The sequence below is a fragment of the Homo sapiens genome, chromosome 9 (genome assembly GCF_000001405.40).
Source record: "Homo sapiens chromosome 9, GRCh38.p14 Primary Assembly".
Classification (NCBI taxonomy): Eukaryota; Metazoa; Chordata; class Mammalia; order Primates; family Hominidae; genus Homo; species Homo sapiens.
This window is the reverse complement of record NC_000009.12, coordinates 116,443,252-116,469,297: the sequence shown is the minus strand read 5'-3', so window position 1 is coordinate 116,469,297 and position 26,046 is coordinate 116,443,252. Positions and strand designations below refer to the sequence as shown.

Genomic DNA, 26,046 nt, shown 5'->3' with positions numbered 1-26,046 from the left:
AGAGCAAGGAAGTTTTTAGCAGCCAGGATGACTTCCTTCTGCCTTTATTTATCCAACACACATTTATTCTCTAAGGGTATGTTTAAATGTGACACCCTCCCTATTAACATTTAACGTTTGTTTATTCTATTAGTTTTTGAGTACCTTTTTCTCTGTACAACTCAGCACTACATTCTTGGAACCCAGAGATGAACGAGACATTGTCTCTGCTTCCATGGAACTCACGATGAAATGTGGTCAATGATATGAGAGTTCAGACGAGAGAATGCCTTTCAGCCCAGTGAAAGCTGCCTAGAAAGGATGACATTTTATTTAAGTTTTAAAGAATGATCAGAATTACTAAGATGCAGATACCAAGAAAAGGAAACATGATTTTCCAAGAAGAGGAGGTCATATGTGCAAAGTTACTGAGAAGCAAGGCAACATGGCACATTTGCAACCCCTACTCAAGTTATTATGGTGCAAAGGAACAAATTCGGATGATGAAAGAAGTTGGTAGAGCTCAAATCATAAGGGACTATTTTGCCAACCTAAGGAGTGTGGACTTTATCTTGAAAGTAAAGAGAGCTATTAAGGGTCATGAGCCGGCTGCTCAGTTGACATTGTCAGATTTGCTCTTTAGGAAGATCACTCTGGCTAATACACTAGCAACAGATTAGAGGTGTGACAAAACTATAGGAAGTAATTTGGGAAGCTGTTCCCAAAGCCTGGATGAGAGCCAGTGAGGGCTAGTGTAGGCAAGAGTTGGAAGAAAGAAGGGAGATTAAAATCTTCAGTGTCAGATTAACAGAGGGTGAGAGATGAGCCACAGACAATTCCTCTGTGTACATGAGCATCCTTCCTGATGCTGGTTGGTAAGAACTCTACTCCAATTCCTTGCCTCTTAGGTGGGCCCAAGGTAGAGTAGTACTGGTGACAACCAGGAAACTTTCTCCTAACACGTCCTATGTACTATAACTGTCCTGTGGAGGATAAACAATAAGTAAGCCTATTTGAGTTGGCAAAAGTCCCCATTTCTTCCTTACTAATTTTTATAGGTAATTAGCTCTCATCTCTTTCTGAAAAAGGAAAGAAAGCCTTTGGGAGTGCCACTAGTATATGAGAGGCTAGCAGGGTTGAAAGAAGAATGAGTTGTGGTTTCTTTCCCCAGAAACCTCACATTCCAGTGGGGATAACAGCAAGTAAAGTATTGATAATGATAGTGTCATTCACGGCTTCATGTCCTCAGTACTGACACTCAGAGGAATGAGAAGCTAGTCCTTTCTGAACAGGTATGGGTCTTTCCCAGAGCCTGGAAATTTGGTTCTGCACCAGGTAGAAAGAGACCTAGCCAACGTTGTGTGGCCAGGCAGTGACAGAGGTTTTGTTTGCTCATCACTAGGCTGAGCTGCAGAGCCAATCGTAGGAGCAAACTTCATTCTGGGAAAAGAGTTCACTACAGTCCTGCTAATGATAACAACTACCTACCCTACCATTTCTTGAATATTTAGAAATGTGCCAGATATTAAGTTTAATGTGTGATTTAAAAACATTATCTTGTTTAATCATCACAACAACTTTATAAAGGATATTTACATGAGTTTAGACTCTTGGAGGCAACGGACAGAAACTCAAATGAAAGTTGTTAAGGAAAATAGAATGTATCTGCTTATATAACTGGGAAGTCTAACAGTGTGCTGACTTCAGCCCCAGCTGAATCCAGGAGTTCAAATGACGTCGTAAGATTCTGTCTCGGCCGGGTGCAGTGGCTTACGCCTGTAATCCGAGCACTTTGGGAGGCTGAGGCAGGCGGATCACGAGGTCAAGAGATTGAGACCATCCTGGCCAACATGGTGAAACCTTGTCTCTATTAAAAATACAAAAATTAGCTGGAAGTGGTGGCGTGCGCCTGTAGTCCCAGCTACTTGGGAGGCTGAAGCAGGAGAATTGCTTGAACCCGGGAGGGGGAGGTTGCAGTGAGCCAAGATCGCACCACTGCACTCCAGCCTGGTGACAGAGCGAGACTCTGTCTCAAAAGAAGAAAAAAAAGGACTCTCTCTCTCTCTATCTCTTTCCTCAAGTTTGCTGTGTGCTGGCTGCATTCTAAAGTGAGTTTTCCTTATGAGGGGTATGAAGATGGAACCTAGCAACTGTAGACTTTGATAGTCCTTCATGCTTTTAATCTCAGAAAGAAAGAAACACACCAAACCCCTTTTCCAGCACCCCTATCAATCCTCAAGAAGGGACTCTTGCTGCCTTGCTTGGCTGATGTCACCACTCCTCTGGTGAGAGGCAGGAACATGAGAGGAACAGTCCCACCCAAACCACATTGAGAACTGCAGAAATAGTTCGTCAGTGGCTATAGGTACCATGCTTCCAAAAGAAGGCGTAACAATGTCTGGGTAAGGAAAACAAACAAAACTGATAGCAAAAAATGTTATTCTCAGAGTCTTATTATCCCCATTCTACAGATGAGAAAACAGAAGCCCCACAAATCATGGGTTATGGAGAAAAAAAAGCTTGGGAGAACAAGGAAGTTTTTAGCACCAGGCATGACCTCCTCCTGCCTTTATTTACCTAACACATATTTATTCTCTAAGGGTATGCTCAAATGTGACATCCTCCCTATTAACACTGGGCAGAAGCACAAAGCCGGGTCCATATCTAGGTCATTCTGATGCCAAAACTCTGGACCTGAACTTCTGCCCTGCATTGCCTCATCTTACACTGGATGTTCTGTCTGAGGAAGGTGTGGGAAGGTAGAAAACCCTACTTGGAGGCAGCAACCAAATTTATGAAAAGAGAATAGGTGAGGAAGGTCACAGAGAGAATGGGCTGGTAGGAATTGTGAAGCAGGCTGCTGTAAGGAACTGCCTAGAAGTTCCAGCCTCATATCTAGCCTTTGAGAAACGTTTGCTGAGCCAATGACGTCAAGACTCATTGTTGCAGAGCAGAGATAAGAGAAGGTGGCTGGACTGGCCAAGAAGCTAGAGATCTGAAGTGCCTTAATGCTGTCTTAGTCCTTGGACCAATGCAAACCTCACAGAGATTTTTCTGCAAGAGGGGGAACAGTTTTGTCTTCAAAGTCAAGGTGAATGCAGCATAAGGAGCCCTGGACCAGCAGTTGATTAAGTACCAGCTCTATCACTCTTCCACTATGCGTCCTTGATTCAAAAGCCCGCTTCCCACCCTCCCCGCAAACAGCAAGTTCACTGAATGTAAAATGTGGGCAATAAACCCTGCTTTGTCTTGCTTTCAAGGTTATTTGTGCAATACGCTTTGCAAAGTATAAATTGATAGGTGTCAGGGATGTGTTCATTTGTTTTAATCATGAATACTGAAATAAAATAAAGTATGGAGAAAGTACAATAAGCCACCACGTGTCATTATTCAGGATTACTGCATGTCAGTACTGTCACATTTGCTTCAGAGCTCTTTATTTTCTCCTAAAGGAAATTAAAGACACACTTGAAGACTACTCATCAAGTAGCCTTCTCAGCCCCATTCTGCCCCTCCCATCTCGCCTAAAACACAGCCACTCTCCTGAATCTGCATTAGTCTAATCCGCAGAGCAAAGTGGGTTTGTGTTTGTTTGCTTGCTTACTTTTAAATTTGCGCCATGATCCTTAGTTTCATATGTAAGCAAATGGAAACTGCAGCTGCTTCCAGCTGACAACTTGCAGCTTGTATTGTTATTATTTATTATTAATAGTAATTTAATTTCTGTATAACGATATGTTCAAAACCAAGTCACAAAAAGTACCACTGGATGTTATCTCTCTCCTGGGAACTCTTCCCCCCTTTTATGTCAATCAATACCTGTAAGAAAATAAATATTTTAATAATGTGTTCTTCTAATCTTGTGCTTACGCAAAGCCTTACGTCTCTGAGAGCTTGTCCAGCCGTGGCGAGGTCTTATCAGGGCCGGATGCCCCAACCGTACCCAGCCAGCCAGTTGCTCCCATTCTGGTAACTCAAGGTTTCTAAGGCTGATGTGTCCAGTCGACCAGAAAGGCTTATCTTCATGGGGCAAAGGGAGCCGGTTGGTGGCTGGGGCTCTGAGATATTAGACAAAGGCTGCACAGGGTCGCCTGAGTTCAAAGCAACAATCAAACCTGCTGGCTGTAGTGAAAAGGGACAGCATGATAGAGAGTATGCAGCCTTCGTGGTGGAGGCAGACAGACTTGGATTTTAAACTTGTGCTCTGCCACATCTCAGGCAGGTGTGCTAAGGGTATGCTCAAATGTGACATCCTCCCTATTAACATTAGGCAGAAGCACAGAGCCGGGTCCATATCTAGGTCATTCCCTCCATAACGACTACAGGGAAAGACCTGCAGTGACCTGCTCTGAGCCTCTTCATATAGTCTGCAACAGTTGGGTTGAAGAGGCACCTTCTTTGCAAGTTTCTTAGGAAAATAGACATCAGGCATATCGCACCCATTGTGCCTCACACTTACTTATCAGTGAGTGGTTGATGGGAAGAAATGGTAAGTTGATCCCTATAGGCAAGTAGAGACCCCAGCAGTGTGTCCCAGAGAGCAAGCTTCAAAGCAGTAAGAGATGGGAAACAAACAAAAAACAGAAACAAAATTGCCCAGTACAAAGGCTCTCTGGAGACTCAACTGGCACACAGAACTCAATATGTTAGTCATGCAGTTTCTCATATTCTACCCCCACTCCCATATATGCAACATGCACACAGCTACATGAATACTCAATACTCAGGGATATGCTTCAGCACAAACATCCATACATGAATGGACCACATAACTGCTCTCAAGGAAGATAATTATAACCAACATATTGAATGCTGTGGGCCAGTCACTCTGCTAAGCCTTTACTAGTATTTTACAATGATTCCAGGACACTAGTAACATCAATATCTATGCATTACCATTGATGGAAGTGAGTCCTAGAGAGATGATGCTATTGTGTTCAAATCACAATTAGTGAATAGCAAACAAATAATCCTCACAAAAATCTATATGACTTAGAAAACCAAGTGCATAACTCTGTGCTGCATTGCCACTTCACATACATGGGTGCCACACTTACCCATCCTCCCATATTATTACCAGGCTTAGGGATACACAGCCTCAGACATACAGATATATATATATATTTGTTTATATAGCTATACATTATGACATTTGTCATAATGTCCACACACTGACAAATATACATTCAACCATTAATTTGTTTACTTATTCAACATATCTTTAATACTCCTCTGCTATGTGTCAGATTCTGGCTATATAGAGACAGAAATGGCTGAGAATGGTGGCTGGCACCTTTAATCTCAGCACTTTGGGAGGCCGAGGTGGGAAGATCACTTGAGACTAGGAGTTCAAGGCCAGCCTGGACAACATAATGAAACCCTGTCTCTCTCAAAAAAAAAAAAAAAAAAACACAAAACTCTGTTCATGGTGGCATGCACCTGTGATCCCAGCTACTCAAGGGTTGAGGTAGCAGGATTGCAAGACCCTGAGGCCCTGTCTCAAGAAAACAAACAGACAGATAACATGCAGCCCTGGCCTTTCAGGAGCTCACAGCGTAGTGGAGAAGATAGAGTAGGAAACACAATGTAACTATAATGAAGTTATTTGCAAGACACTAAGAAAAGCACAGGAGAGGGAGCTGTCTTCTTTTCCATACTAAAACTATACCCCTTACATTAGTTTAATTCAACTGTCAGAGAAGGCTTCCCAGAGGGAGGGACATGTGAAGGAATGGAAGTGCCCCAGAGAGGTGACAGGCATTATAGGCAGAGAGAACATTCAGCAGGGACACAGCAAAAGCCCATAGGCTGAGGGACAATGGCATGCTTGAGAAACAATATGTTGTTTGGTATTGCTGAAGCATATAATGAAGGCTGAGAAGTTGAGAGGAGGATGGCAGGAGTTAGGAGATAAAGTCCTGATGTCAAATCCCTTTGTGAACCAGCTTAGGGAGAATAGTTTTTATGTTATGGATGGTGGGGAGAGATCGAAGAGCTTTGAGGTAGGACAGCACTGGATAACCATTTCAGAAAAAGACCCTTGGAGAAGTGTGATGAACAGATTAGGGTGGTGTGGGATGTAAGGGAGAAGCCTGAGAGACTGGTTGGGAGATGGTTCTAATTGGCCGGGTGAGAAATGGTTGCAGCCTGAACTAGAGCAGTTGCAATGGAGAAAAAGGCGGGTACATTTGAGAAATTGTTGAAGTATAGACTTAATAGAACTTGGAAACTGATTGAATATGGGAGTGAGACAGAGGGAAGGGTTGGGGATGATACCCAGGGCATGACTGAGTGACTAAATGGATGCTGCTGCCATTCACCATGATGGGGAGGATGACAGGAAGAACAGTTTTGGGGGATGTGAGGAGTGTGAAGGCAGGAGATTAAGATGTCTTTGGACATCCAAAGGAGATATCCAGTGACTAGCAGGTAATATTAGTTAGAAATTTACTTCAGATTGCCATATGCAAATTGTATATATGGGCAGACACACACACACACACACACACACACACACACACACACACACATGCTCACCCAACACTTACCCTTAAAGAGCAATCCTAGGAGGATAAGAAGGCCTGTTGAGGTAAAAAGCTAGAACTTCCCTTAACCCAAGGAAAAGAATATTATCCCATCGTTCCTATATTATCACCAAACCTACTGACCTCTTTGAGCTTATCGGCTTGAAGAGTCAGGGAGTCAACAGTGAGTTTAGAGTAAAGCATTGAACTTTCATTTCAGACATTCTTTATTCCACAGTATAATCCTGGTGATTTTTCTACACCTGCCCCTTGTAAGGCAAGAAATTCTCCTTTCTCTGTACTTTTCAAGAAGAATACAGGATTATTATTGCATGGCATGGATTAAGACAGGGATTCCCAAAGAATTGAGATGTAGCATGGCAGAAGGTTAAGAGCCCTGGCTCTGAAGCCAAGCTGTTTGGGTTTGAATCATTGCTCTGTATATCCTAGCCAGGACATACTGGGCAAGTTGCTGAAGCTCACTGTGCTCCCATTTCTTCCTGTGTAAAAGGAAGACAATGATAAAACCTACTTCATGGGATTGTGGTGAAGTTAGATAGCCTCCTAGCACATTATATGTGCTTCATCAGTTCAAAGGTTTTACATATGAGGACATTTTAAAAATGTCCCATGGGGGCTCAAATTGTAGCAGAAAGAGAGTGGTCTTTAGAATCAGGCTTGGGTTTAAACCCTGGCTTGCCAATTACCGGTTGGATGAGCTTGGGCAAATCATGCCAAACCAGAGCTTTAGTTTCTTCAATTATAAAATGGTGATAATAACCATTATTTAACAGGCCAACATGAGGATCAGAGGCAATTCATTTAAAGCTCCTTGCAAGATGCCTGACCTAAAATATGTGCAAAATACATGGTTGTGTGATCAATAGTTCTAGAATGGGTTTCTCACTGTTGTCGTCCATCTGTGAATGAGGCATGCGTAAGTCAGGATAGGCTAAGCTATGCTGAGTTAACACAAAAACTTTAGTGCATAACATAACAAAGCATTAATCGTCACTCACTGGACATACCTACTACAGGTTGGCAGGAAGCTCTATTCCAACAGTCACTCAGGGATCCACACTGATGGAGGCCCTCTATTGAATCATGAATATACCTTCTGGAATACATTGGCCTATGAGATGGGAAGAGAAGGCTGGAGAAGGCATACGAAATCTTAACCCACAGTTCACTGGATGGAAAAAAATCACATGGTCCCAGATGAAGAGGGAAGAAATAATATTCTAGGAGTGAGATGCCATGGATAGCTTTTATGTAGGAGAGACCACAATCTAGGTGCACAGATTTTTATATGTGTGTGTGCATGTGTGTACATATAAACAAGTATACACCTATATATGTGTACATATATATATGCGTATACATGTATATAAATATGTGTATTTTACACACACATATATTCAAAGAACAGTTTTTGAGGTCCTACTATGTGGTCTGGCACAATTTTTGGCACTGGGGATATATTAGTGAATAAAACAGACTAAATCCTGTTCTCATGAATTTTGTATTCAAGTGGGAGTGGAAAATAAAATCAATAAATATAATAAATAAGTAAATTATATAATATATTAGAAGATTATAAATCTTGTGAAGGAAAAATAAAGCTGGGTAAATTGTATTTGAAATGTACCATTTGGGGTATGGTCAAAATTTAAAAAGGGAACTTCATGGAAAAGGAGGTGAGGGAAGGAACTGGGGAGAAATTATTCCAGGCAGAGAGAGGAGGATGTGCACATTATTGGGAACATGCCAGAGGTTCAAGGTGAATTCCCCCACTAGATTGAATACAATTATTTCTGTTTAGCCAAAAAATAGGAAATGCTGATGAGGATCATTAAGAATGGTTGTTCTATAATAACTATGTATTGTGCTGTTACCATTTGTTAAGAAATGGGCTAAGGGCATCTTATCTACGCTACAGAATCCTCCTAACAGCCCAGTGTGGCAGATGGAACTCTGTTTATTTTACTGACAAAGAAACTAAGGCTGGAGGAGACCAAGTACTCACCCAGTGTCACAAGCCTGCAAGCAGCAGAGACCATCTTTAAACAAAGAACTTTCCCCGCTTATACATCCATGACCCTAAACTCTGCACCATATAGTTCCTTTGCAATCCTCGGATCCTACATTTACAAATTTTAAAAAGCCATAGCTATTCACTTAAGATTTCACTGAAGGTTCCATATTTCCTCTATAAGTAACACTTTCTACTTAAATGAGGAAATACGCGCAAAGGGTTGGGGTGGGAGATGTTGCTCAAACTCAAAAATAAAAAAGCTAAAGATAAAGGAGAACCATGCCATCATTAACGAGGCAGGATCCTCCTGACTCCACTGGTTTTGGTTTTTCTGTTTGTTTGACATATAATTCACATACCATGAAATTCACCTTTTTAAGGCTACAATTCAGTGGATTTTATGTTATAGATATTAACAAAGTTGCACAACCATCACAAGTAATTCCAGAACATTTTCATCACCCGAAAAAGAAACTCTGTAACCCATTAACAGTCATTTCCATTGCCCCTTCCTCCCAACCCCTGGCAACCACTAATCTACTTTTTATCTCTAGGAATTTGCCTATTGTGGACATTTCATATAAGTGGAATCATGCAATATATGTCCTTTGTGTCTGGATTCTTTCACTTAGCATGTTTTCAAGGCTCAGTGAATATTGTAGCTTGAATAAGGACTTCATTCCTTTTTATGGCAAGTAATATTCAGTTATTTAGATATACCACCTTTCGTTTATTCATTCATCAGTTGATGGATATTGGGTCATTTTTCACTTTTTGGCTGTTGTGAATAATGTTGCTATGAAAATTTTTATGCAAGTCTTTCTGTGGAGATACGTTTTCAGTTCTCTTGGTTAGATAGCTTGGAATGGAATTGCTGGGTCATATGATAACTCTGTGTGTAACTTTGAGAGGAACTACCAAACTGTTTTCCAATATGGCTGCACCGTTCTGCATTTCCACCACCAATATATGAGGATTTCAATTTCTCCATATCCTTGCTAACACTTGCTATTTTGTGTCTTTTTGACTATCGCTATTTTAGTGGGTATGAAGTGGTGTCTCATTGTGGTTTTTATTTGCATTCTCCTAATAACATGATGTCAAGCATATTTTCATGTGCTTATTAGCCATTTGAATGTCTTTTTTTTAGAGAAATGTCTAAATCTTTTGTCCATTTTTAAATTGTGCTTCGTAAATTGTTCAGTTGTAATGCTACTTTATATATTCTAGACATGACACCTTTATGAGATATGAAATCTGTAAACATTTTATCTAATTTTATGAGTTGTCTTTTGACTTTTTTGATAGTGTTCTTTGAGGCACAAAAGTTTTAAATTTTGATAAAGTCCAATTTATGTATGTTTTTTGTTTGCTTATGCTTTTAATGTAATATCCAAGAAAACTACTGCCTAATCCAAGGTCTTAAAGATTTTCTCTTATGTCTTCTTCTTACAGTTTTATAGTTTTAGCCTTTACATTTAGGTCTTTAATGACCTATTTTAATTTTTATACATGGTGTGATATAGGGGTCCCACTTTATTCACTTGACGAGGCTACCCAAGTGTTCCATTTGATAAAGAGTCTTTTGTTACAGAGAGTATTCTGTCCCCACTGTATTTTCTTGGCACCCTCCTTGAAAAACAATTGACCATAAATGTATGAGTTTATTTCTGGGCTGTCAATTTTATTTCATTGATCTACATCTGTCCTCATACTGGTGTCTCACAGTCTTGATTACCATAGCTCTGTAATAAATTTTGAAATCAGAATGTATAAGTACTCCAGCTTTTTTTTCTTTTTAAATATTGTTTTGGCTATTCTGGATGCCTTTCATTTCCATGTGAATTTTAGGAGCAGCTTGTCAATTTCTGTAAAACAAATCATCGGATATTTTAATAGAGATTTTGAATCTACAGATAAATTTGGGAATATTTCCAGTTTAACAGTGTTAAGCCTTCCAGTCCATGAATACAGGATGTCTTCACATTTACACAGGCCTTCTTTAATTTCTTTGAATGATATTCTGTAGTTTTTAGTGTTCAAGTCTTATGCTTCTTTTGTTAAATTTATTCCTAAGTGTTTTTTTTAATTCTGTAAATACAGTTTTTAATACTGCACAAAGGAATGGTTTTCAAATTTTATTTTCTGATTGTTCATTGCTAGTAAATAGAAATACAGTTGATTTTTGTATATTAATCTTGTAACCTGCTTGACTGAACTTATTTTTTAATTTTTTTTATTTCGAATTTTTATGGGTACATAGTAGGTGTATATATTTATGAGGTACATGAGATATTTTGATACAAGTATGCGATGTGTAATAATCACATCAGGGTAAATGAGGAATCCATCACCTCAAGCATTTATTATTTCTTTGTGTTATGAACTTTTCAATTATGCTCTTTTAGTTATTTTAAATATACAGTAAATTGTTGACTGTAGTCACTCTCTTTTGCTATCAAATACTAGATGTTATTCATTTTATCTAATTATATTTTTGTGCCTATTAACCAACCCCTCTTTTCCCCTTCTTCTCCACTGCCCTTCCTAGCCTCTGATAACAACTATCATTCTATCCTCTAGCTCGATTAGTTCAATTTTTTTTTTGTTTTTAATTTTAGTTCTCACAAATGAGTGAGAACATGCAAAGTTTGTCTTTCTGTGCCTGGCTTATTTCACTTAACATAATGTCCTCCAGTTCCATCCATGTTGTTTCTAATGGTAAGATCTCATTTTTTTTAATGGCTGAATACTACTCCATTGTGTATATGTACCACATTTTCTTTATCCATTAGTCTGTTGATGGACACAGGTTGTTTCCACATCTTGGCTATTGTGAATAGTGCTGAAATAAACATGGGAGTACAGATGTCTCTTCAATATACTGATTTCCTTTCTTTTGGGTGTATACCTTTCCTTGGATAGCCGGATCATATGGTAGTTCTAGCTTTAGTGTTTTGAGGAATCTCCATATTGTTCCCCATAGTGGTCGTATTAATTTACATTTCCACCAGTAACATACGAGGGTTTCCCTTTCTCCACATCTTTGTCAGCATTTGTTATTGCCTGACTTTTGGATAAAAGCCATTTTAACTGGGGTGAGATGACATCTCATTGTAGTTTTGATTTGCATTTCTCTGATGATCAATGATGTTGAGCACTTACTTATATACCTGTTTGCCATTTGTATGTCTTCTTTTGAGAAATGTCTATTCAGATCTTTTGCCCATTTTTAAATGGGGTTATTAGAATCTTTTTGGTATTGAGTTGTTTGAGCTCCTTATATATTCTGGTTATTAATCCCTTGTCAGATGGATAGCTTGCAAATATTTTCTCCCATTCTGTGGGCTGTCTTTCACCTTATTGATTGTTTCCTTTGCTGTGCAGTTTTCACTTGATATCATCCCATTTGTTCATTTTTTTCTTTGGTTGCCTATACTTTTGGGCTATTACTCAAGAAATCTTTGCTCAGACCAATGTCCTGGAGAGTTTCCCCAGTGTTTTCTTGTAGTAGTTTCGTAATATGAGGTCTTAGATGTAACTTTTTTAATTATTTTGATTTGATTTTTGCATATGGTAAAAGATAGCACTCTAGTTTCTTTCTTTGATATATGGATACCCAGTTTTCTCAGCACCATTTACTGAAGAGACTGTTCCTTCCCCAATGTGTGTTCTTGGCACCTTTGTTGAAAATGAGTTAACTGTGGATGTGTGGATTTATTTCTGAGTTCTGTATTCTATTCTGTTGATATATGTGTCTGTTTTTATGACAGTACCATGCAGTTTTGGTTACTATAGCTCTGTAGTATAATTTGAAGTTAGGTAATGTGATTCCTCCAGTTTTGTTCTCTCTGCTCAGGATAGCTTTGGCTATTTTGTGTCTTTGGTGGTTTCACAGGAATTTTAGGATTTGTTTTCTATTTATCTGAACAATGTTGATATGGTTTGGCCATGTCCCCACCCAAATCTCATCTTGAATTTCCATGTATTGTAGGAGGGAACCAGTGGGAGATAATTGAATCATGGGGGAAATTCTTTCGTGTGCTGTTCTCATGATAGTGAATAAGTCTCACAAGATTTGATCATTTTATAAAAAGAGATTTCCCTGCACGAGTTCACCTCTCTCTTTGCCTGCTGCCATCCCTGTAAGATGTGACTTGCTCCACCTTACTTTCCACCATGATTGTGAAACCTCCCCAGACATGTGGAACTGTAAGTCCATTAAACCTCTTTTTCTTCCCAGTCTCAGGTATGTCCTTATCAGCAGCATGAAAATGGACTAATACAAATGTCATTGGTATTTTGCTAGGGATTGCATTGAATCTATAGATTGCTTTGGGTAATATGGATTTTTTTTATTCTTTCAATCCATGAACATGGATTATCTTTCCTATTTTTGTGTGTCCTCTTCAATTTCTTGACTCAATGTTTTATATTTTTTTGTAGAAATATTTCACTTCTTCAGTTAAATTTATTCCATTTTATTTGTAGCTATTGTAAACGGGATTCCTTTCTTCGTTTCTTTTTCAGACTGTTCATTATTGGCATGTAGAAATGCTACTTATTTTGTATGTTGATTTTGTATCCTACAACTTTCCTGATTTTGTCAGTTCTAATAGTTTTTTTCTTGGTGGAATCTTAGGTGTCTTCAAATATAAGATCATATCATCTGCAAATAAGGATAATTTGACTTCATTTTTTCCAATTTAGATGCCCATTATTTCTTTCTCTTACCTGATTTCTCTAGCTAGGCTTCTAGTACTATGTTGAGTAACAGTGATGAGAGTGGGCATCACTTTCTTGTTCCAGATCTTAAAGGAAAGGCTTTTTGTTTTTCCCCATTTGGTATAATACTAGCTGTGTGTCTATTGTATATAGTTTTATTGTGTTGAACTATGAACTGTTTTATATCTAATATTTTATGGACTCCTTTTTATTTTCCATATATAAAATTATGTCTCTACAAAAATAGATTGTATTACTTTTTTTTTTCTTATCTGGATGCTATTTTTTTTTTACTTTTTAGATTTTAAGGATGGCTTGGGCCTTTTTTATTGTTGCTGTTAAAGTAAACTCAGAGTTTACCAGTAGTAGTACTTTCAGGGAATTTTCCAAATTACCTTTTTCTTCAATCTAAGAAGAGGTTATTGACACCTTTTCAAAATTATGTAGTCATTGATCATTTTGCCCAAATAATATCTTTTGGAAGTGACATGAGAATAGTCTTATGTTTATATTGTTGATTTTCTTATTTCTTTTTGGACACTAGTATTAAACTGAAAATTTAATAATCTTACAACTTAAATAATTTGTAGTAAAGAAAATGTCACATGGGTTTTAAAAATTAGCAATTAACTATTACTTCCTACCGTAAACTGTTTTTCTTTTCTTTTCTTTTTTTTTTTTTTTTTGAGACAGAATCGCACTCTGTCACCCAGGCTGGAATGCAGTGGCACAATCTCAGCTCACTGCAACCTCCGCCTCCCAGGTTCAAGCAATTCTCCTGCCTCAGCCTTCTGAGTAGCTGGGATTACAGACGTGCGTCACCACACCCAGCTAATTTTTGTATTTTCAGTAGAGACAGGGTTTCACCATGTTGGCCAGGCTGGTCTCGAACTCCTGACCTCAGGTGATCCACCTCCCTTGGCCTCCCAAAGTGCTGGGATTATGGGCGTGAGCCACTGTGTCCAGCCTCCTACCATAAACCTTTTTTTTTTTTATTATTATACTTTAATTTCTAGGGTACATGTGCACAATGTGCAGGTTTGTTACATATGTATACATGTGCCATGTTGGTGTGCTGCACCCATTAACTTTTCATTTGCATTAGGTATATCTCCTAATGCTATCCCTCCCTCTTCCCCCACACCACGACAGGCCCCAGTGTGTGATGATCCCCACCCTGTGTCCAAGTGTTCTTATTGTTCAATTCCCACCTATGAGTGAGAACATGCGATGCTTGGTTTTCTGTCCTTGCGATAGTTTGCTCAGAATGATGGTTTCCAGCTTTGTCCATGTCCCTACAAAGGACATGAACTCATCCTTTTTTATGGCTGCATAGTATTCCATGGTATATATGTGCCACATTTTCTTAATCCAGTCTATCATTGATGGACATTTGGGTTGGTTGCAAGTCTTTGCTATCGTGAATAGTGCCACAATAAACATATGTGTATGTGCCTTTATAGCAGCATGATTTATAATCATTTGGGTATGTAATGGGATGGCTGGGTCAAATGGTATTTCTAGTTCTAGATCCTTGAGGAATCACCACACTGTCTTCCACAATGGTTGAACTAGTTTACAGTCCCACCAACAGTGTAAAAGTGTTCCTATTTCTCCACATTATCTGGATGCTTTTTTTTTTCCTTGATGAATTGTCTTGTCTAGAACCTTCAGTACAATATGGAATAGAAAGGGTAAAAATAGATATCTCTATTATCTATTTCTACTTTGATATCTCTGTTATCAAATTCTACTTTGTCATAGGGTATAGTCTTTTTTATAGTTGTTCAGTATGGTTAGTTTAGTATTCTGTTGTATCTATATAAGGGATATTGGATTTCATCTGATTTTAATCAGACAAATTCTATAATGATAACACCACCTTATAGAATTCATTGTCAGTGTTCCCTCTTCCTTTGTCTTGTTGGAAGAGCTTGCAGAAGATTGGCGCTAGCTGGAGTTAACATTTGCTATCATTCACCAGTGAAGACATCTAGTGACCCATTGTGAAATAGGAAAAGAAAGCAAAGTCCATGGGGCAGAAATTCACCCAAGGTCACAACAGGCAGCCCTGAGTTCAGGCTCCAGCTGAGCCAGTGCCTAGTGTGTAAATTGTTTCTAGTTTTCTTAACTATGATCAAAAGTGGATATTGCTGTCATGGGGTAACTGATGAGGAAACTGAAGCTCACAAACATGGCATGATTTGCTTATACATGCTGTGGCTGAACTGGAGCTCTAATGAAACCTTATGAAAAACAACACCCTCCAGAACCATTGCCTTTGTGCAGGGATTTGATTTTAAAGATGCACTGTTTCCATTTTATCTTACTTGAGTATCATAAGTAAGCAAGATAAGCAAGATAACATTTATTGTACCAAGCACTGTTCTGGGTGTTTCTCATGCTATTCATTCTTTTTTTTTTTTTTTTTTTTTTTTTTTGAGACGGAGTCTCGCACTTTTGCCCAGGCTGGAGTGCAATGGCATGATCTCAGCTCGCTGCAAGCTCCACCTCCTGGGTTCACATCATTCTTCCACCTCAGCCTCCCAAGTAGCTGGGACTACAGGCACCCGCCACCACGCCCAGCTAATTTTTTTGTATTTTTAATAGAGACGGGGTTTCACCGTGTTAGCCAGGATGGTCTCGATCTCCTGACCTCGTGATCCACCCGCCTCTGCCTCCCAAAGTGCTAGGATTACAGGCGTGAGCCACCACGCCCAGCGCTATTCATTCTTACAACAATCTTGTGAGGCAAGTATTGTTGACTCCATTTTACAGATAGGAAAACTAAGACTCTCAGAGATGTTAGAAACAGGAAATGGAGAAAGTCATGATGCAAACTCAGTCTTTTAGACCCCAAGCAGAGGGCTTGTTTCTTTGTCCCACTCCCACCCCTCCACCCATGGAAAGCAGAACTCACATATGAGATGGGAACTGAGCTCAGCTCAGAACTGAGTAGATAAGAACCATTCTGCCTATAATGTTCCCTAACTTAATGGCCAAGAGTAAATCCAAGTTGGTGGCCTCTGCTTGGCCTCTCCTCCTCTGAGCTTGGCTTTGGCAAAATTCAATCTTAAAGGCACCATGGAAGAAGAGAAGGGCTTTAGGGTCAGATGTGGGAAGAGAAGTGATGTCAGTGTTGAAAGGAGCAGTAGTGTGTTCCTGTTGTAAGATCTCTTCCTTGTCAAAAGTTGGGAACATGGAGTTCATCCTCCTAATAAACTTTAACTTCCTCTGAACTGTGACTCAAGACCCACTTGGGACCAATGAATGCCTAATAATTTTATCCATTTGGAAAGAGCAGTGGACTTTGAGTAAGTAGACCTATGTTGGGGCCTGGCTAAACTACTACTATATCTGTAGCCTTGGGAAAGTCAATCCAAATTTCCAAGGCTCACTTGCCTCCTTGTAAAATGGATTTAATAATACACATCCCTTAGGCAGTTGTAAAGGAAACAGAAGACAACTGTGTAAAAGCTTCTAGCACTGTGTCTGATACAGAGTATGTGCCCAGGAAATGTGTGTGGAATCTCTAAGGCACTTTTACATCCATAATCACCATTTAGTCCTCACACCGTCACCATGGGGTTATTGACAGGCCACTGAGGTGCAGAGAGGGCAAACAATCCCACCAAAGCCACATAGCTAGTTAATGACAAGGTGAAACCTACACATCATATCCTCTGCCTCTCAATTCAACATGCTTCCAAGTTATGCCTTCTGAAAAAGTCATTTCTATAACTGAAGTCACTTTAAAAATTATTGTTTATATCTGAGTTCAGAGATGCTGTCCAATATATAATAAAGATATTTTTAAAAGCCTACAATTTGCTTCAGAGATCCCAGGAGTGCAAGTTGGAGTAGAATAATTGGGCATTCTGTGTTCAATTCATTCCTTAACTTGAGACCATAAGGTTAGTCTGTGTCTGCTTTACCCTAAAACAGCATATTAAAATGTGAACATCTTCCAATTAAGTACTATAGCTAGTACAATTATGTGTTATCATTTAGTCCACACCCTGAATAAAGAGAAGGAGGAGGAAAAGACGGGGGATGGGGAGAGGAAGGGACAGGAGAAGACCAAGAAAAGAAAGGCAAACACAGTCATTGTTGTTAAAGCCAAGCCACATGCCAACCTGCATTTTTTTTTTTCAAGAGGGGTCAGGTCACTCATATTTGATGAGTGAATGAATACACTCAGATCATTTGCATAGTATTTATATATTTAAATCCACTGTCTTATTCACTCCTCAAAGGCTTTCAGAATGGAGAGGGCAAGAATTGTCATCATTTTTTCGTACAAAAAAATGAGAGTCCTGTAGGTGGTTGACAATCCCAGTTTGCAGCAGACAGAAGATCCAGCAAGATAAGGTCTAGTTCACAGTAGCTTTTAAACTCATATCTAAGGCTTAGTCCACTGTTTTGAAAGAAGGAAGAACAGACACACCTGAAACAAACATAGGGGCAAGAATACATTTTTATTGAAGACCTTATAGTACTGTGTCCCATTTCTTGTTCATTTGACCATCTCTCTGCTCTTCTGTGAGCTCCATGACAGCAAAAACCCCACTCTTTTTTTTTTTATGGGTGTTTCTTCCGTGCTTAGCAGAATGCCCAGCACCTAGTAGGCATTCATTTATGGCAAAGCACACAGAGTGGAACTGCTGTGATAATTACTCACTCCTCAGGTATTGGAGATACACTCAACACACTTTAATTGTAAATGAATTTATATGTATTTAATTTTAAGTGTTAATACTATAATTATTTCTGAGTTCTGGTGTTCACTGCACTGTGAATTTTAGGGAGATGCTCACATACCAGTGAATTTCAGGGGATTTAGCAGTCAGAACAGTGGATGCCTAGCACCGTTTCCAGGTTGCTGTCACCTCTGCCTGAGCTTAGAACCAACACTGGTTTCCAGACTTGGCCTTCCTACAGAGCTCTCCCTGCCAGCTCCCCACTCCCCTGATTCTTTGCCTGTTAGCTCATACAGCTTGAGAGGTTGAAGGGAGTGCAAGTGTGGGGAGCTGGTGTTTGGAGCCCAACCACAAACTGCTTTACCTTTGTTCTAAGCCAGGACCTCCTAATCATGCCTCAGACTGAGTTGTTTTGAAAGTAGAAACTAGGATGGGAGTCCTTAATACCAAGATGGTCTCTCTGTTCCGGGCACTAGAATTAAATATTTATGTTGGCAGAAAGCATGGGTTGTCAGCTTGAGTTGGGAGACAGGAAAGTTGGGTTCTGGTGCTCGAGGGTGGGTGGCTGCATGTGAGAGTGAGCAGGGATGCATAGCAGCCCCTGGTGACTCATTCTCAAGCCTCACTTGGGTACTCCTAGACCAAAGGGGAACAGAAATACTTTGCTTGGTAGCTAGCACTCAGCTGGGGGGAAGTTTGGACATCTGACTTTTGGCAGCCTCTCCAGCCCAACTTGCCCAATACCCTCATGTCCCAGGCTGGGAAAGTGAGAGCAGAGCATGGTGGGACTTACCCAAAGCCATTATTACTCAAACTGGAGTCTAGGTCTTCAACGGGCTATGGAGGCATTAGACCTGCAGTTAGAGAGCTGTGTGACCTTGGACCAGTCACTTGAACTCTCTGATCCTAACTGTAAAATAGGAATGATTTCTAACCTTGGGATTAAATGAAATAATGTAAGCAAATGATACTACATTCAGTACTTTCAAAGCTCTACATTGGAGTCAGTAGGCTTTCCTCTGGAGGTCCAGATAGTAAATATTTTAGGCCTTGACGATGCTGTGATTTCTGTCACAATTACGTGATTCTGCCATTGTAGTGTGAAAGCAGCCATAGAAAATGCATTCAAAGCAAACCAAAAAAGAGTGTGGTTGTAAAAGATTTATTTATGAAAATAGGCAGTGGGCCAGATTTGGACTGTGGGCTGTAGTTTGCTGATCCTGCTTGCAATGCTTGTTAGTTGTTGCAGTTACTATTGATGACACAACAAATGACCCCAAAACTTAGCAGCTTAAAATCACCATTTGATTTTGCTCATGGATCTGTGGGTTGAAAATTCAGACAGTACATAGTAGGTTGGGCTGTCTTTGCTCCACGAAGTATGGGGCCTCAACTGCAAGAATTCAAAAGCTGGGAGTAACTTGACTGCTTGGGTGAGAATTATCTGAAGGCTCCTTTACTCATCCATCTGGAGCCTAGGTACCAGGGCTGCTGAAGCAACCACACATGGCCTCTCCTTGTGGCTTGTCTTCCTCCCACCACAGTGGCCTCAGGGCACTCAAATTTCTTATACGGAGGCTCACAGTTCCAAGTGAGAATGTTTCAGTAAGCAAGGTGGTAGCTGCATCCCCTTTTATGACCCAGACTCAGAAGTCACACAGCATCCCTTCCATTTTGCTCTACTGGTCAAAGCACTCATGAGCCTGCCCATATTCAAGGTGAAATGTCAAAGAACTGGGGCGGGGGTCTTGTTTTAAAGCCATTATAGAAGAGATGAATTATTTAAACACATGCACATTGAATAACAATTATGCTAACTTACCACTTACCATGTGTCAAGCATCGTTTCATAAACTTTATTCCTCTAACATCCCTTTGAGATAGATAATATTATCATACACATTTTATTTTTACTAATTTATTTATTTAGAGGCAGGGTCTCGCTCTCTTGGCCAGGCTAGACTGCAGTGGTGCCATCTTGGCTCACTGTAGCCTTGATCTCCCAGGCTCAAATGATCCTCCCACCTCAGCCTCCCTAGTAGCTGGGACTACCAGTGTGTACCACCATGCACAGCTAATTTTTGTATTTTTTGTAGAGATGGGGTTTCACCATGTTGCCCAGACTGGTTTTGAACTCCTGGGCTCATGCAATCCACCTGCCTCGGTCTCCCAAAGTGCTGGGACTACAGTTGTGAGCCACCACGCCCGGCCACACACTTTAAAGACAAGAAACATTACAGAACAGAGAAGGTCGATTAACTTGCCTAAGGTCATAAGGATAGTAGGTTGTAGAACAAACATTCGAACTCAGGTAGCAGGGCTCCAGTGTCTATTCTAACCTCTGCACACCCTGCCTCATTGTGATCATAAAAGCAGAAACACTCTTTCTACTACTTGAGTGGAGCTGGGTTCAGAATGAGAGGCTTTGGACTTCAGAGTGTCTAGCAGTCTTCCCATCAAAAATCCATCACGAACACTATTACACATTTTCTCTACATCCATACTGTCTGGGCATCATGAATAGTACAAGGGAAAAGATATAGTACTTGATTTTGTTCACAAGAAACCTAAACTATGGGTAGGGAGATTGCATTCTGATTTCATTCTCACAATCCCACAAGATAAAACTCTTGTCCCCATTTTACAGATAAGGAAACTGAGGCTCAATGGTAGAATTTCTACTTGCTCAGTAGCTTCTTGCTACTGCCCAGGTAGAATCCAGATTCAAATCCAGAACAGTCTTATTTGTAAGTCCATGCTGTTTGCCACGGAATCCAGTGGAGAAAAGTCTGGAACGTGTAACACCAGCTCTATCGAGGAAAAAACAGCTCTCAGTTCCTAGAATATTAGATCTAACCTATCTCTCAGCAGTGAGCTTGGTCCTGTTCCCTCACTGCAGGAGATGGGAGGCTGAAGCATAGAGATGGGCACTGAGGTGGCCCTGGCCATCCAGCTTCCCAGACCCAAAGCTTAAGCTGGGACTAGGTGCTTTTCCTACTGCCCCTGTCTGCCACATTGTGCTGGAAATGGCAGGGAGGGGAGCCATGGCAGTGGGGGTGGGAGGGGTGGGCATGAGCTAAGTGGAAGTTGTTTGCCAAAGCTGTGTGGGGGGAAGGAGCATTTTACAAGACTGGGGCCTCTGGCCTGGAAACATCTGTTTCCCTTCAAATCAGCGAGGAGACTTTTGCCTCCCCAGAATGCCTAAATCATGTTGCGGCTGGGGAAGAGCAGGCGTTGGCCTGGAGACTTCAAACGCATTCTCCTATACTCTCGGGGACCCAGGCCTGACGTGGGCCTCTAGGGCTCTGTCCCTGCTCTTACCCCCTGTCAGATCTGTGAGAAGCTCTCACTGCCAATTAACTTCTTGGTTTCATTCTCTCACCCCTGCTGTGAGGAGGTCTGGGGTCTTGGATGGGACCAATAGCAGCTTCCTTTCTACCCACCCTCCTCTGATCTCCACTGGGACCACTTACTCCAGTTGGGGGTGAAGTCAGAGCCTTGGGCAGTGGCTTAGTACTAACCCTAATGATGATGCCAACAGCGATTGATTGCATATTGGTTATTGCATATCACAATATCACATGTCGGGCATTGTGCTGAGCACTTTCATGCTGCACTCTCTTTTATTCTAACAAGAACCCTTCATGGTGAGTTTTAATATTATGATTCCCGTTGTACAGGTGAGTACCTTGAGACAAGGCTACACACAGCCAATGTACGAGAAGCCAGAATTTAACAACAAATTGGCTGATCCCAAAGCCATGCCTTTAGCCCTCTTGTTATTCCATTCATTTTAGTAACCTTTCAATCTAGTCATCTTCTGTTCATTTCACAGATGGAAAGACTGATTTCCAGGAAAGGGAAATGAACCTCATTCATTCTGACCTGTGTGTGCTGAGCGTTGGTGCACCAGGTGTAGGTGTTTAGAGTTGAGCAGAACCATATTCTGATCCTGAAGACAATCACATACTCATAGGGGCAAGAAAGAAGTGAAGGGGTGCTGACCTAGCTGTGTGACATGTGCACCATATGGCATGGGCACCGTGCAGGGGAAAAGGAGGGCTAAGCAGCTCTTGAGACGGTCAAAGCAGACTTTCCAGAGGAGGTAAGGTTTGAGCGATGCTTCAAGGACAAGGTGGAGAGGGGTCAAGTGAAGAAGGGGATGGATGACTCAGCCAGAGAGTGCCACTGGTGGAAAGGTTCAGAGGTGGGATCCATGTTCTGGAACCATCAGCAGCTGGAGATGCCTCTGCTGTGAAGCAGAGTGGGGAGGAAGGTCAGCAAGCACACCTAGACCTTTGACCAGAGCTCAAATGAGGGGGTTCCAAGTTGAGGAATTTGTCCTGAGAGTGATGGACTTTGTCCTAAGGATGATGAAGATGATGTCCTGAGGATGACAATGTCCTGACAATGATGAAGAAATATTGAAAAATACTTCGGAGTAGTTATCCCAAGGCATTTTCCCACACAGTGTGTTTGTTTGGATTTCAACCTCCCAATACACTAAGCCTGTATTACTGTAGGTATGCAAGATCTCATACCACACAGTCTGTGGACAAGCTGGGACTCAAATTCAGGTTTCAGCCACCTTGGCCAGTGTTCCTTCCCCTGAAATAAGGCCAAGGAAAGGAATAGCAATGGTTTGGGCCTGGAGCTCCAGGTTCCTGTATAGCTCATCCAACGTTATCCATGAGCCGCCTCTTTCATAATGAAAGCATCCCATAAGTAGACTTGGACCTCGATCAGCCAGGGCATGGAAATGTAGGAGAGAGCACTGGAGGAGGAGGAGTCAGGAATGCCAGAGTCTTTGTATGAATCTATTGGCAAGTGGGTCTTTGTGCAAGTCATTTTTCCTTCTGGGCTTTGGTTTCTCCACTTGTAAAATCAAGATTAGGAGTTGATGGTACAGGAGTTTTAGTTCAAATTATCAGTGAACCTCAGCCTGCTTCAGAGAGATGATGACAGAACTAAGCAGAGAGAGGCTGACACCCTTTCTGATCTCAAGAAACTCAGAGGTCTGATTATTCTCTCTCTCTCTCTCTCTCTCTCTCTCTCTCTCTCTATCTCTCTCTCTCTCTCCCTCTCCCCTCTGTCTCTGTCTCTGTCTCTCTCTGTCCCTGGCTCTCCCTCTTTCACTCTCCTGCTGTATGGATTTGCTTGTGGTATATATTTGTATCTGTTTCTTGGTCTCTGTCCCCCCCCAACTTCTCACTCTCTCTGTCTCTTTCTCCCTCTCTCCTTCATATCAGGGACTGCCACTTTCTCTCCTTCACAAGTAACCCCTCCAGGCACTGCCTGGTCCCCTAACAGCTTTCAGATGTGCCTCTGGAACAGTTCTACAATTACAGCTGAGACAGGCAGAAAGCGCATGGCCTTGTGACTTTTGACCCAGCACTGTGAGGTTGACGTCTTCCTCTTTCTCCACCCCCCAGCAGGGTTGCCTGAGGCCTCCTCCATCCCGAGGCCCCCACTGGCATGTTTGGTTACTATAATAACAAAAATAGAAGCTACCTTTTAGGGAGCAAAGATTGAACTGGGCCTATTATTATCATTGTGTCACTGAGTCTTGACCACCAACTTGTGAGATATGGATAATTTCACCCTATTTTACAGGTGAGGAGACTGAGGCTCAAAGCAGGCGAAGTGACTTCCCAAAGAATATTCAGCCAGCAATTGGAGAAAGCAAGGATTCTACCCAGTTTTTATGACATGAATACCTAAGACCACTTCTTCCCCAGCATCCTGGGGGCTCTCTTATTCATGCTGCTTGGCTAAGCAGCGAGATGACCCTGGGCCCTCTTGGGTGAAGGAAGTGGATTGCAGAAGCACCACAGGAACATAAGTGGCCTATGAAACAGCTGTGTTAAAACATATTCCTACTTTTCATATTTTGAACTTTCATTCATATATTCTATTCACTACAAGCCTTCCATGTTTCCCTTGGTTGAAATACGTCTCTTCTAACTCCAAGAAAGCATTTTTTAAAATGTGTTGTCTTGCACAAATAAGTGCTTTTATAAAAATCCTCTTCTTACAAGCCACTTTCTCAGCATCACTCCATGTAATCCTTGAGACAGCCATGCACTGTCTGTGAAACTAACCTCATTTTATTGATGGAGAAACTAAAGAAATGAGAGGTGGTATGCTTTCATTCATTCATTTATATCAGTATTTGTCAAGTGCCTACTGTGTGCCTAGTACTGTGTTAAATGACTTGTTGTCATTTAACATATAGCTGTACCCAAGCCGAAGTGTATGCACTATGAGTCATGCATGCTAGCATTTGCATCTTGCCTCTGCCACTTTCTAGATGGGTCCATATGTGGATGATAAGTGCTTACATAATGTTGCCTGATGCTGTTCTCACTTCCCACCTTGCCACTTGCTTACTCTCACCTCCTTAAATTTATTTATGATCTTGTTCTCAACCCTTCTGCATGGCTTTCCAATGATAACTTACCTCATAGTGCACTTACATTTCACATCTATCCATACTGCACTTGTGAGGTGGGTGGCAGTCTATCACAGATGTTGGGTGCAGAGAGGTGCAGTGAGCTCAGAGAGGTGAAGCGACTTGCCCAAGTTCACAATGCTAGACAGTAAAACTGGAATATGAACCCACATCTGGCCATCTCCAAGACCGGGCCCCTTCCTCTGTCACCCCCTGCTTCCTTTGTACCAAGAAGTTTTGACTTGTGGTACCCTTTATTAAAACAACCTTTGAGGCCTCAGGTCATGGGAAGTCAAAGCTGGAAGGGCCCATGTAGGTAACCTGGATATGATACCCTGAGCCTGCGAGTGGGAGCAATAAAATGGCAGCTGAGAGCAAAGAGTGTGGGTTTTAGAGTAAGACAGATGATAGTCTTGGCTCCTTAATTTTCTGAACCTGTGACTTTGGACACATTGCTTAATTTTTTAAATCTTCAGTTTTATCTTCTGAAAGGTATAGATAATGAGGGTGATTATTTTAGCATGTTTTCATAAGATCAGAAAAACTTATGAGATGGCACTGCTTCAACATAGTTGGGGTTCAGCAAGTGTGGCTAATGGAATCACATTTTTACAGAGTTGATTTCTACAGAACTGTGATCAGAAGACAACAGCTTACAGTGGTTGCATGTATGAATTTTAGAGTCTGAGAAACCAAGGTTTAAATTGCCAGTCCTAGTAATTACTATGTGGTTCTGGGCAAGCTGCTTCCCCTCTCTGAGCCTCACAAATAAAATAAAGAGAGTAATAGTGCCTGTCTTTTAGGATTGTGTGGGGGAATTAATTGTGTTAATGTAGGTAACTCTTAGCTCAGTGCTTGACACATATTAGGGTCTTAGCACATAATAATTAATTTGTATCACCAACTTATATTTATTAAGTACAAGTATGTATGGCCAATCAGGGCTCAGCATTCTGAAACTTGCTAATCATAGTGTTTTTCGTATTTTATAACATGGGATAATTTGAGATGCAAGGGAGGAGGGAAGAAAATAGGGCCATTATGACCCTAGTCTCTTCTACTTAATGTAGGGAACCCTCTACCCACTTCACACTACTGCCTCTACCCTTAAAAGCTGGTGAAAAAGGATGACATGATGCAGACAGAACACTCAGATGCTCAACCCTTCTATCAGACTGTTCTTGGCCTCTAAGGCTCACATCATCTAGAAAGTCATTTCTGCTCCCTTCTTAGACTTTGCTTAACTGTAGAACTTGGAGATCTGGGAATACAAGGGTCACAGAGCTTCCCCGAGATAGGACAGAGGACAGAGGCTGCTCTAGAAACAATTATGTGCTCTGGATTAGACTTGAATCTACCAGGTCTACGTTTTACCTGTTCTTTCCTTCTAAGGCCACACAGGCTGTGTCTGCTTCCATCAATATAGCATGGAACTTCAGATGACATCATAGAAAGGTGGGGATATGCCTTATAGCCAGATTAACCCCCAGTCTCCCTGGCATGGCCTACAAGGTTCCCACCGACCTTCTACCTCATTTCCCTTTGTTCCAGCCACACTGGCTGCCCATTTCTTCAACCGTCTGGGCTCCTTTCCTCAGGACCTTTGTACTTACTGAGCATCCTACCTAGAAT

General features: G+C 41.1%; 1 protein-coding gene across 7 annotated transcripts in view, besides 2 other annotated features; it reads left to right on the top strand.

The window, feature by feature from the left end:
* ASTN2 (astrotactin 2) overlaps positions 1 to 26,046 on the top strand; it is a 991,946-nt gene that overhangs the window by 945,760 nt on the left and 20,140 nt on the right. The window lies entirely within an intron of this gene.
* Positions 3,932 to 4,076: an enhancer, noted in NCBI's record as "145 bp enhancer 254 fragment used in the MPRA reporter construct; PK_construct_4213". NCBI's record gives its function as "activates an SV40 promoter by MPRA in K562 cells {active_cell/tissue: K562}" and the evidence as "EXISTENCE:reporter gene assay evidence [ECO:0000049][PMID:23512712]".
* Positions 3,995 to 4,012: a transcriptional cis regulatory region, noted in NCBI's record as "GATA motif; enhancer activity is reduced when this motif is scrambled". NCBI's record gives its function as "necessary for full MPRA enhancer 254 activity {active_cell/tissue: K562}" and the evidence as "EXISTENCE:site-directed mutagenesis evidence [ECO:0005528][PMID:23512712]".